Raw genomic sequence first — 14,395 nt, 5'->3', positions numbered from 1 at the left:
GAGTAGTAAACAAATGCATGTGGCTGCGTCCCAGTAAAACTTTATGGACACGGAAACTTGAACTTCATATAATTTTTGCTTGCTGTGAAATATTCTTTTGATTTTTAAAGACTGTTTAAAAATGTAAAACTATTCTTAGTTCACAGATGGTAAAACACAGGTGGTAGGCTGGATTTGGCCTGAAAGCTATAGGTTACCAGCCCTTGCTTGTTTTTGTTTTTGACCTGTGTAACCCAACGCATTTTCCTTGAAACAACAGTCTCAAGAGCTCGTTTCTGAAAAAAAGGATGTCATGATGAAATGTATTTGGAAAATGCTGTGATCTGTATTACTGACTTGAAAATTTACAATGAGCATTATATTTTAAAGTTTTCGAGAAATCCCATAGTAAGAAACCTGCCTGGCTTTCACCAACCCAGTGATGCTTCAACTTACCTAACCTCAGTACTCCTTTTTGTCCCTCACATTCCCAACCGTGCAAGGCCAATGCACAGTTGGCCCTGGCCTATTCTCTCCGATGGCACTTGATACTTCTTCTTTCCTTGTTAACTACATTCCAGCCATACTGGCCTTCTTTCTGTTCTTTAACCACCATGTACATTCATTCATTCTTGCCTTGGATGTTCTTCTGTCTGCTGTCCCCTCTGCCTGCAAGGTTCTTCTGCAAGATCTTCACAGGCTGGCCTTCTTGTTATTCAGTTTTCAGCTCAAATGTCTCCTCCCCAGTGAGGCCTTCTCTGATGTGCTATTCTAAAACGACTCCTCCATCCAGCATGCTCACCCGCATGCCTCTGTACTGTTTTCTTCATGGAACGTTCTATGAAATTTTCTCTCTGTGTATGGGTACGTGTATGTGTATGTATGTGTAGCATCTCCTCACTGCAATGAAAGCTCCATGAGGGGTGGGACCTTGCCCCTCTTCTCTTTATTAGAACATCCTGTCTCTAACTGAAGTGCTTGCCACATAAAATGAATGCAATATAATTTTATTCAGAGAGATTTTAAGAGATAGAGAAAGGGATAGAGATGGAGTAGGGGTGAGGGAGAGGGGGAGGGAGAGAAAGTATTACACAGACCACGTTTTGAGAAATACTATGTTATGCAAAAGAAAACACAAATTTTAAATTCTTACTTGAAAAATGCATAATGTCACTAGCAGTTACAATGCAAATTCATCCAACTTAAAGTTTACATTGCAACTCAAAGGTTATTCTAAGCAGCTCATGTAATTACATCCATCAATTGCTGATGTTTCTGTAAATGATTCAATTTGTTTTTTGGAGAATACAAGTAAGCTGAAATAAGAGCTATAAAATTGCTTATGCTCTTTGACATTTTGGAAAATACACCTCACAGAAATAATCTGAAGAGGAAAATGGTAGTTTTTTTAAATAGATTGATATAAACATTGGTTATAATAGCAAAAGATTGGAAACAATCATTCTAGACTATTAAAAATGACAATAGTGTAAATTACATCAATATCTGGACTTGTGTTTATCATACCATATTAAATGAAAAGAGTAAAACACAAAATATGTGCTCTTCAATGACACCAACGTAAAACATGCACACTTACACTAATCATAGCTAGACAAATTTAATTTGCAATAAAGCAAATTACATTTCATTTCATATTTTTGTTGCAATATTTTCTCTGTAACATCAAAAAGTTGACAAAAGAAAAGAGATTGGAACTTGCTTGCACTGTGGAGGGAAAACTGGTTCTGTACATGTTTTAATTTGTCTGAGGAAACAGAGAAAAGACTTAAATATCCTGAAATAAAGGTGGCAAAGCTTCTCCTATTCAGCCTTTCGATGTGAGTCTGGACCTGTGGTTTCAAAGGCATTCTTATTTCTCACCTAATTCACTTTATTGTAAGTCCTATGAGAAGCAGAAGGTTGCTATGTACTATGAAGTATTTACATTAAGTAGGGTGCTTTGGCATAAATTACATGGAAGACATTTGTTCTTACAACCTTGAATTTATTAGCTTTGTTCTGTTGGTTTCAAAGGTTAACAAACACCTGCTGTTGAAAACTTTCAACAGCAAAAACTTTCTCATACCTGGCCACTCTAGGATTAGCTAAGGGGCAAGAGACTGGCCACATATTTAGGGAAGACACTGTGGTCCTGTTCTGGTAAGGAATGAATGCCAAAGTGCTCATCTTAGTATTTGCAGACGAAGCTGTCTGATCTGCAGTACAAGGATCCATTGGTGTGTACGTGACGTACGTGGATGAGCACTGGTCAAAGGAGAACTGTTATGTAATTATAGCATCCACAGCGTCCGATGCACCACCCAGCCTAGCCTAAAAGTTTGTACTGGGAAGTAGGTGTCATAAGGATAATGAGAATTAATTAATGTTTATGAATAACAAGATTCATGGGAGAAAAGCACTGTGTGAAGGTAATGTGTTAAAGTGTTCGGGAAATGATGTTATCTTAAACTAAAAATCAGAGCTGGTTGGGCAGAAATATTATCATTGTAAAGTAAACACTGATTTTAATTCCTTTGAAAGTTTTGCATAAATTTCTTACCTATGAGTCAGCTCTATCTGAAGTAGGGTAGATAGTTTGCCAACATATAAACTTGAAGAATTGAGATTTGACTTGGCTTAATGTATGTCAAACATCATCATCATCATTCTCATCAAGGAACAAATATAATTAATTGTCCAGTTCACTTATAGCTTATTTACAGTATGCATAGTAAGCAAATATAATCTCTGTAAAATATAGTAGCTTACAGTCCAGGAATAATTTATTCCCCAGTATAAAGAAATATAGTGGCTAGAAATGAATATTTGAACTACTCAAATATTATTTTTCTTCTTGGCTTAAAAATTAAATTATAATATAAAAATATGTTAAGTGCTATCAATTGCAATTTGTTTATAATTTTAATGTAATAGCTAGCTAGCTAGATAATACTTTGTGTGCTGTCTTAAAAAAAGATTGTTTGAACACTGAAGGCAGAAATGAAATATGATTAGAGCTGCAAAGTTAAAGTGCACACAATATTCATAATACCAGTGGCTTACCTACATGACATATGATACAGAAACATTTTTATTTAGTAGGTTATTTGTACTTTTAAGTGTAACATAGCTTGAGAATAAATTTTTAGCTGATACATACTTTTCTTGCTTGTCAACTTGTGTTCTAGGTGTTGTGTAGGACATAGGATTAACACAGTTTTTAGCTGTTGAGCAGTGTTCCCGGTGTTCTAATGAGTATTACTTGGCAAACAAGGTAGCATCATCCTATTTAATTTAGAATAATAGTTTTTTAATATTTGAGAATGGCCCTTTCTTTGTAATTTCAGGAGATGTTTAGAATATACTTAATATTACACTAATTTTCTTGTAACAGAGGCCTAACTCAGTGGTTTGTTCATTCATAAGCATTTTCGTTAGGCTAAACACATCTAGCAGCAGACCTAAAACGTAAAGAAACATTCTGGCTGGGCGCGGTGGCTCACGCCTGTAATCCCAGCACTTTGGGAGGCCGAGGCGGGTGGATCACGAGGTCAGGAGACCGAGACCATCCTGGCTAGCATGGTGAAACCCCATCTATACTAAAAACACACAAAAAAATTAGCCGGGCGTTGTGGCGGGCGCCTGTAGTCCCAGCTACTCAGGAGGCTGAGGCAGGAGAATGGCGTGAACCCGGGAGGCGGAGCTTGCAGTGACTCGAGATTGCGCCACTGCACTCCGGCCTGGGTGACAGAGCGAGACTCCGTCTCAAAAAAAAAAAGAAGAAACATTCTGGTACCGGAGACCACAGACATTAAGCATTTTAGTGCCGATTTTCAATTCTGCTTACATTTGATTTACATTACTTGACAGCTCTTTACACTTCTTTTTTCGGGTGTGCAAATTATTCTGTTCTTTATATTGTATTTTCATTATAAAACTCTAGCTTATTTGTTAAACTATGGAAGTAAGAAGACGTTACAGAGAATCTTATATCATCCATTTACAAAGTGACTGATCTGGACAGAGTCAAAGAATACTGGAAAACTCATTTTATTGAATTATTTCATATTGAATGGCAAGTTCTAGTATTTACAATTTATAAAATTAAAGAATGTTTTTGACTACTATCACTGGAATGCTGCAAAGTGGGGAATTAGGCCAGGTAACCAAAGATGCCTATGAAGACTGTGGTTGTGTTAGGTATAAAATTAGAAGAGCCCAAGGAAAAAAATGATCAAACCAAGAAGAGAAACTGAAACCTTCAATTTGATGAGAAGAGCTAGTTTGTAGTACATAACAGGCTATTTGTTTTCAATCTTAGATTTTTACATTTGGTCAGTGTGAAATGGAAACCAGAATAGATAATAAATACGATAGGAGGACAGAAAACTGAACCCGCACAGAGAGGAACTTGTGTAGGTTTAGATCATTGATCTGGCAATATTCAAGTCTATGCATTCTGATGATTAACACCCTAGGGTCAAAGAAGAATTAGGTGAAGTCACCAGAAAGTGTGAAACAAACATTCTGAAGAATTTAGGGTGGACTGATGAGATGCCTAAGTAAAATAAGTGTATTTTTTAAAAAGTGAATTAATCTGCCTGCCAATTTAACTTTAATATGTGGGAATTTTCAGGTTTATCAGAAATTGTCTTAAATTTAAGCTTTGCTAGGGCAAGCAAAATTTGAATTAGTCCTTAAAGACTGTGAATTGGGTCCTATCATGAACTGCATGTTTATCCCTCCCTACTCCCTACAAATTCATATGTTGGAGCCCCACTCTCCAATGGGGTGGTATGAGGAGGTAGGGCCTTTGGGAGATAATTTGGTTTAGATGAGGTCATGACAGCTCCCATGATGGGATTAGTGTCCTTATAAGGAAAGGCAGAGACTAGAGCTTCCTTTCTCTCTTTGCTATTGGCCATGTGTGGATACAATGAGAAGATGGTCATCAGCCAACCAGGAAGAGTGCCCATTCCAGATACTGGATCTGCCAAGTGCCTTGGTCTTGGACTTGCCAGCCTCCTGAACTGTGAGAAATAAATGGCTGTTATTTAAGCCACCCAGGCCATGGTATTCTGTTACAGCAGCCCAAACCGATTAAGACAGATCCCTTCAGAAGTTCCTGACCTGCTGCACTCAGCCTGGACGCTGAGGCCATTTTCCACCAGTGTCCTTGACTTGTGTTGCTTTTCTATACAGATTTTTTTCTACAGGTTCCTCCTGGGACCAAAATAATGCTGAATTAATAGGGCAGTAGTCTGTAACTGTGCCACAGAGGGAAAGTAACCAATTTTGTAAATTGATACCTTGACCTTGCCCCTGAGCAGACAGTGCTATAACCAACTTAGCTAACTAGTCACAGACCTAAGTAGATGAGCTTGGTTGACTGAGGGGAAGCAATAAATTATGTTTGTATTGACCTTAGTAAACCTTTTAATTCTTTCCCACATGATATAGTTCTCAACAAATTGGGAAAATATGGCCTAGAGTCAGGTAATTGTGCGACTGCAGATCAGTGGCTGGGGCGCGCAGCATCAGTTTTCTGCTTTGGTGTACTTGAACAGTTTCATCATCTGTAGGGACTGGTGGGGTGTTTAAACTCCAGGCCACTCCCTCCCATCAGCCCAGAGAGGATGCTGATTGTTTGCTGCCTACTGTGGTGGGAGGGGGCACATGGCCTCCTACCCTACCACGGAGGAAGCACTGCTCAAGTGTGTCGGGGTCAGGGCTGACATGAGGAGGTCTGAAGTTCATTGTAGCACATCTCCTAACAGCTGGTCTCTCTGAACAGAAAAAAGAACCACATTTTCTCTTTGGTATCATTCATTTTGTCTCTGTTCAACTATTTAATCTGAAAATTCTTCACTCAGTCACTCAGTAAACAGTTGTTGAGTAAATACTCCCATGTGCTGGCACTCTGCTGGGCAGAAGGCATACTGAGTAAAATTCAGCCTTTGCTCTAGAGGAACGTACAGTCTATTTGAAGATACTGACATGTATATACAAAATGACTGTATTACTTGCCTAGGACTTCCATAACAAAATACCACAGACTGGGTGGTTTAAACGACAGAAATTTATTGTTTCACCACTTTTGGAAGCTAGAAGTCCAAAATCAAGGTGTCACCAGGTTTAGTGTCTCTTGAGGCTTCTCTCTTTGGCTTGGAGGTGACTGCCTTCCCACTGTGCCCTTTTGTGGTCTTTCCTCTGTGTGTGAGAATCCCTGGCATCTCTGGGTGTCCGCATTTCTAGCCTGAGCAATATAGCAAGACCCCATGTCTACACAAAATAAAAAATACAGCCGGGCATGGCGGTGTGTACCTTTAGTTCCAGCTACTCAGGAGGCTGAGGTAGGAGGATTGCTTGAGCCCAGGAGGTTGAGGCTGCAGTGAGCTATGATCTTGTCATTGTATTTCAGCCTGGGCAACAGGGTGAGACCCTGTCTCAGAACACACACACATACACACACACACATAAACACAAAAACCAAACAAATTTCTTCTTATAATAACACCAGTCAAATTGACCACCCGACAGGCCTCATTTTAACTTAATCAGCTCTTTAAAGGGTCTGTCTTCAAATACAGTCACATTCTGAGGGGGTTAAGTCTTCAACATACAAATTTGGGGGAAGTGGGGACAACTTAGTCTATAACAATGACATGAGGGTAAGGCAAGGATTAACAAAGTTTTATGTGAGCTCAAACTGTCTTGGGACTAGGACACACATCAATTCTCAATATTATTAGAGTCTAAAGCAGGTGTCACTATGGCAAATCATAGATGGAATTAGGCCTATAGACATGCTCTTTTCAGCCAGCATCATATTTAAAAAACAAAATCTGAATGCCTTTTAGGTGGAACAGATACTTGCTTCTTCTTCACATTTGCAGTTCCTGTTTGGCCTTTAGACATATTCAAGTTTGCAATCCCTGAGTAAATTCATAAGGAAGAGGAGCGTTTTCCTAACCATCTCATACTTGCTAGACCCTCCAGCCCACATGGAGTCAATCAATTATATCATTATACACCTAATTATTATTAATTTGTCTACTCCTCTCTCTCCACTAATTTTCATTTAGTTCCTCCCCAGCCAACCAAGATTAAGAAATAGACTCAAAATTTAGCCACATATTCTCTCTCTCTCTCTTTCTTTCATTATTTTATTTTATTATTTTTTGAGACAGGGTCTCACTCCCACACCCAGGCTGGAGTGCAGTGGTATGATCATGGCTCACTGCAACCTCGACCTCCTGGGCTCAGGTGATTCTTCCACCTCAGCCTCCTGAGTAGCTGGGACTACAGGCATGCACCACCATGTCTGGCTAATTTTTGTATTTGTTTTAGAGATGGGTTTCGTCATGTTGCCCAGGCTGGTCTCAAATTCCTGGGCTCAATCTGCCCGCTTTGGCCTCCCAAAGTGCTGGGATTACGGGTGAGCCACTGAGCTAGGCCCACACACTTCTTTTCAGCTGCTCTTTAGCTACCTGAAGATTTAGCCAAAGTTTTGAAACTCCTACTTTAGGTCCTGTAATTTTTTAAACAAGACATTCCCCTGCTACCAAAAAACTGTATCTGTATCTTCTCCCTTTTCTTCTGATTTTAAATTACACATGATTGTGACTGGTGATAACCAAGACCTATCCCATGGAAGGCTTTAACATTCAGCTCCAGTGCCAACTGGCAACATTTCTTAGGATATCCTGGTGAACACAGCAGGGAGATAGAATTTGATTGGTTGATTCATTTCCTACCAGGTCATAAGTTATCACCATTGAAGGTATGGATGGGAAAGGGTAATTTGACAGGATATATTTAGATGCCTGAAATACTTCATAATCTTGTTATTGCCTATTTTTCTGTGATGGCTTAGAAATGACATTTTGTTCAAATAAATGCAATGAGAATAAATGTTTTATGTAAGATACAAAAATAAAAGAACACTCAGAAGTAACTCAAGAAATGCAAATAAAGCAAAATTTAGTTATCACATTTGAACTTAACTATTTGGCAAAGATTTAAAGATTGGTGATATCATATATTTGCAAGAATGTGTGAAGATGGGCAGGTGACTGACTTCTCACTGTGTTATTAAAGTGCATATTAATAATTAGGCATTATTAATAAAAATTTGTACAACTTTCTGGAAGGCAGCCTGATACTGGATTTCAAAATTTAAAACTCCACTTCAGGTAATTTATCTCAAATACACCAAAATATATATACAAATCATCAGAGCATTAGAAATAGTTGGAATAAAATAACTAGAGACTTAAGCATCTATCAATAAAGGATGGATCAAAATCATCATTATGCATTCATACAATGAAACTGTATGTTGCCACTAAAAAGAATCAGTCATAACTGTAGTCACTGGCATGGAAAGATATTTCAATAGCATATTATTTTTAAATTAAAAAAATGCAATAGAAAGCAACTCTGTAGGAAGGACAATTCCATCAATATTAAGTTGTGTGTGTTTGTGTGTGTATGTCTTTGTATGTACACAGATGTTCAGAATGTCTAGCACCATAGTTACAATGATAACTTCTGGAGGATGGGATTTGGGTAATTTCTACTGATTTTGAGTGTTTTTACTTTCTTTAGTCTTTTGTAAAGACTAAACATTTTCTTCATATTATCTTTATAATTAGAAAAAAGTATGTTAAAATATTTTTGGATAAAAATATGCTTCCTAGGGCCAAGACATTTACCCAAAGAGTTCCATAAACTTCTGTCTTGCTCAGATATGTTGGTTTTATTTATAAGCATAACTCTTATATTCAGAATATTATTAAAGGATTTGTAGTGTATTGTGAACTTCCCTTTTAATAAACATGAAGTATTCCAATAGTGGCCAATTAAATTAGGAATATGACACATACTCATTGAAGACAAGTGTCATGGGCTGAATTTTGTCCCCCCAAATTCATATGTTGAAGTTATTAACCTCCAGTGCCTCACAATGGGACTGTGTTTAAAGATAGGGTCTTTTAAGAGGGAATTATAATGAGGTCATTAGGGTGGGGCAATCTAAGCTGATTGGCGTCCTTATAAGAATAGGAAATACAGACACAGACACATGTAGAAGGAAGTCCATGTGAGAGCTCAGGGAGAAGAAAGCCATCCCAAGGCAAGGAGAGAGGCTTCAGAAGAAATCAACCTTGCTGATAGCTTGATCTCAGACTTCTGGCCTCCAGAATTATGAAGAATAAATACATTTCTGTTGTTTAAGCCACCCCATCTGTGGGGCTTTGTTATGGAAGCCCTAGCTAACGAGTACAAGTGAACCTCCCTCATCTGTACTTTCTATTGGGAGTGTTGTTCTTGTTCAATAACATTTCAAAGTTATTTAAATATATTTTACATGAATGGTCTTGAACGAATTTTATTAAGTTGCCCAAGTTAGTAAAAGAAAAATGTGCCCAGTATGTACCAAATTCACCATATTACACCTAAAAACAAATCATCAAAGGTAAAAGTCTAAAAATAACACAAAAGAATTGAAATTATTTCAGCCCTAGATTGGGCTGGGTTTAGCAATTCTGAATTGCAGAACTCCACACCTACGTATATAAATTTTGAAATTTATATATAAAATTATATAATTTATATAATATATTATATAACATATATAATATATTACATTTATATACATTTTTATAATTTATAATTTACATATTATATGTAAAAATTCCACATCTATGTATATATGAAATTTTGAAATTTATATACATACATGTGGAATTCTGCAATTTTCATTAGATGAAAGTATTGAAGAGAAATATGATTTTAATCAGGGCTGTTTCTTGAAAAATTGAACAGCCTACTGTTTTGTTTCATGTATTGTTTTAATGTAATATACGACTTTTTATAGGGGAAGGAAAAACTCACACTCTGGAGAATTTAAAAAATGAGAAAGTAAACTACTCTTTAATTGGTGGGCCTTTTAAAATTTATAGTTCTAATGCTGTTCATGTAGTGATTTTTATTTAACAATATCTCAAGGTTTTAGGTAAAGCTTTAAACCTTTTGGAATGTAAAGGCATATTTGTAAATGAAGGTTTAATTTTACCAAAGGTATGGTAGCTACTTGATAGTTATGAAGTATGAAATCCTCTGGAAGAAAAAGTTACTTTTAGTTAACATGTGTTGGATCTTGTGTATTTACAGGAAATGTTTTCATTTAAGACCACTGATACATTAATAGTTTCCAGGCACATTTTATGACAGGCCCTAAGTTTGTTCTCTTTTGAACAGCTAGGAAAGGATGTTTTTAAAGTAAGCACTTAGATTTGCCTGGATCTCATTTATAAAGCAAGGGTCTTAACTCCAAATGCCTCTGAAATCAAACTATGCCCTGGAGTGGTGAATTCCCCAGGGATGACCAAAGCATCTTCCACTCAGTTTCTCTTTACTGTCATTCAAGCTTCCTAAGTCTCTTGTACTCTTCTGTTTCCTCTCTTGAAAAGCAGTGAATGGATGCAGCTCCTGGCTGTCCTCCACCTTCTTCAGTTTTATTCATGGACAGTCTATGACTTTACTTTCATCGTTCCTTGGAGAAGTGCTAATCCTAAACGATTTAGTACAGTACTGGTTTAAAGCTCTGTGCTTATTCTGACACTGGGTTTTGACTGTCATTATATTTTTAATGAGCATTTTGACACCTCTAAGTATTGGGAGGATTTGATTAGGTGGAGAAATAAGAATGTGTTATCAAATGAGAGGGCTACAGTGTTCTCAAGAAAACAAAGTGCTTTTGATCTCAATCCTTTTGTCTTCCAGTGTGTTGCTAAAGCCCCCTAGTGGCCAGGTGACCCCAATCAGGTGCTGAGTGCCCCCTCTTGGGGAGAGGATCCTAAGGATCTTCCTATCTCCAGAGCTCTCTGAACTATGGTAGAGGACTATTTGTCCCCAATATAGCCTGATTCCCTGGTTTAAAAACTTCTCAGAGAGTCCTGGCCTTTACCTCTGCAAGCTCCCAAAGGAAGAGAGAGCCCAGCAGTTTCTCCAGCTGAGAAGAAGGGAGATCACTGAAGCCTTTAACTAAGTAGCAGGGGATATTTCCACTGTTTGTGAGGAATGGAGAACTCATTAATGTGCTGAAAGCTGTGAGCTGGGGCTCCCCAAAGTAGCTTCCTGGCTTTAGGTGTCTTATTCTGCCTGCACAACGTCAGAAGGAGGGAATGAAAGAGTCCAAATTTCCTCTAGACCTCCTCATGGAAAAGTTTAGGAAGCATAAAAATATAGTCTGGGGCTGGGAGCAGTGGCTCATGCCTTTAATTCCAGCACTTTGGGAGGATGAGGCAGGAGGATCGGTTGAGCTCAGGAGTTCAAGACCAACCTGGGCAACATGGTGAAACCCTGTCTTTACCAAAAATCCAAGAAATTAGCCAGGCGTGATGGTGCACACCTGTAGTCCCAGCTACTCAGGAGGCTGAGGTGGGAGGATCACCTAAGCCTGGGAATTTGAGGCTGCAGTGAGCCATGATACCTCTCTCTATATCTATATCTATATATCTATCTATATCTCTATCTATATATACAAGTATATCTATATTTGTATATACATGTATATATCTATATATATATATACACTATGTATACATGTATATATAGATATAGGTATAGATGGATATATAGATATAGATATATAGAGAGATATAGATATAGATATATAGATACAGATATATATAGAGAGAGTCTGTACACTTACATGACTTGGTGGCTTGCTATAAAATTAAATGACCCCTCAACTTAGGTTCTACAGTGTATACCCTTGAGGAATCACCTCTCTCCCCCAAGAACCCATTCCTCTAAGCCTATATAGCCCCCATTTATAAACCTATGACCAGGGACAATGTCTTGTCTGTATCCTCAGTGGTGAGCAGGGTGTCTGGTATATACTAGGGGCATACTTAGTCTTGGAATAATTAAAGGTAATGGAATCCATTTGATTTGAAGTCTGTGTTTTTGAAGAGATCCTCTAAATTGTAAAAGATGCACTTTACAAGTTTTTATTTTTATTTTTTTTTTTTATTTTAAGACAGAGTCTCACTCTGTTGTCCAGGCTGGAGTACAGTGGCATGATCTAGGCTCACTGCAACCTCTGCCTCCCAGGTTCAAGTGATTCTCATGCCTCAGCGCCCCCAGGTAGCTGGGATTACAGACATGTGCCACCATGCCCAGCTAATCTTTGTATTTTTAGTAGAGACAGGGTTTTGCTATGTTGGTCGGGCTGGTCTCAAACTCCTGGCCTCAAGTGATCCACCCACCTTGGCCCCCCAAAGTGCTGGGATTACAAGTATGAGCCACTGCGCTTGGCCACCCAGCTTTTTAATTAATTCTTTTTTTTCATGTGTGTGAGCTAGGTATAAGGCAGCATGCTGAGCATTATGGGTGATGCAGAGAAGTCCTAGAGAGAATTAATTCCTGTTGCCAAGGAAGGAACAATAATCCCATGGAAACTACATGCCCACCTTGATCCCATGCCCCCTATAACTCCTACCCTAATTCTTCACTCCTAGTCTGGTTTCCCCCACCTTGGACTCACCCTTTATTTCTCTTCTCTCTGCATTCTGTACCCTGGACTTCATGCAATCTGCCCTTGGTGAGATGACCACATTGTGAATTCAGCAGTCATGTTGTAGTCCTCTGAACCTTCATTTTGTCTCTGAGAGCGTTTGACACATGGAGCCATGTCCTCATTTTCCACTCTGCTCCTTTCTACTTCCTGGCTGCACCTTCTTGGTCTTTTGTTTTTTGGCCAACATTCCCTTCCCTTACCAAATCTAAGTGTTGGCTTTTATTTGGGCTCTATCTTGGGCTCCCTTTCCTCACGTTGCTTTTCTGGCAATGTTAATCATGGGATAAAAATCAGAAACACCTGGAAAGTTATATATATATATATATATATATTTTTTTTTTTTTTAAAGCTACACACATCCAGACCCCAGAAATTCTGATTTATTGGGCCTTTGGTGTTTGTATTTTGAGACAAATTTCATGAGTATTTCTTAGTACATCCCTTGTTAAGAACTATGACACATGCATGCTTTCTCTCTCTCTTTTCCTCCCTCTCTCTAGTGATCTTATCCTCTCCTAAGGTGTCCATACAGTGATGACTTCCAAATCAAAATTTCCATCCCGGAGCTTGCCTTTAATACAGATCACTATATACAATTGCATTTTTGGGTAGCTCAGAGGCTTCTCATAAAATTCAACGTATCCTAAATGAAAATCATGACTTATTTCACCAAATCTGCTCTTCCTCCTGTCTTTTCCATTCCAGTAAATGACATTGTCATTTGTACATCCAGAAAAATAGGCATTCTCCTTAGTTCCTTCTCCTTCATTTCCCGTACCCAACGAAGCACCAAGTCTTGCCAAACCTGCATTCTATATGCAATTGCTGATTAGGAACCACATTTTTACAACAACAACAACAAAAAAGCAATTTCGGATGACTCAACCTAATACTTATCAACTCTGTTTACTTTTCCCTATTCCAATGATGACATGTTGGTCCAAACACTCATTCTTGGGATGGCTGAAATGCCTTTTGTACTGGGCCCTCTGCATCTGCCGTTGGCCCCCTTCTTCCACTATTTAACTGTCTTCAGCATGATTTCTTAAAACATGCGGCCCTAATTACATCATCCTTTCATTTATAACCATTCAGTGGGCTCTCAATGCACTTGGCATAGTCTAAAATTCTTAAATGGCTTGGAAGCCCCTGTATCATCTGGTCCCTTTTTTCCTCTGCTGCTTTATTCTAAGCAGTATTTTTTTCTTCCACTTTCTTCTATGGCCAAATCTCACTGGGCTTCTTTAGGGTCCTTCTGGTTTCAGAGACTTTGTACAGGCAATTTCCTTGGCCTGGTACACCCTTGATCAAATTTTTGTTTGGGATACTTCTTGCAAATCCCTTTTATCTCAGCCTAAGCATCACTTTTTCTGGGACACTTTGCCTGATGCTCCCCTATTGTGGTTGAGGGCCCCTATTATGTAGCCTGAAACTGTAGTCCTAATTTCTCTTGTTATTCATTATGTAAATAATTCATTATTATTCTGCAATTGTTTATGCAATAACTGTTTCTCTGTGAGACTACACCTCCATGAAAGCAGGGACTACATTCCTGCTTATTTTCCCCTGTGCTTCCAACTTTTAGCACGGTGCCTTAAATTTGGTAAGCTTTCAATGTACATGTATTGAATGCATAAATAAGATGGGAGTTAAAAAACAAATATCAGAAAGTATTTTGAAACATCACAAGTGGAAGCTTGAACAAAGCACAGTGGATATTGAAAGAAAGAGAGAGAGAGAAATTATCCTGTTTTTTTGTTTTTACAGACAGCTCCTCTGTCACCCAGGCTGGAATGCAATGGCATGATCATAGTTCACTACAGC

The sequence above is a fragment of the Homo sapiens genome, chromosome 14 (genome assembly GCF_000001405.40).
Source record: "Homo sapiens chromosome 14, GRCh38.p14 Primary Assembly".
Taxonomy (NCBI): Eukaryota; Metazoa; Chordata; class Mammalia; order Primates; family Hominidae; genus Homo; species Homo sapiens.
This window is presented reverse-complemented; position numbering follows the sequence as displayed.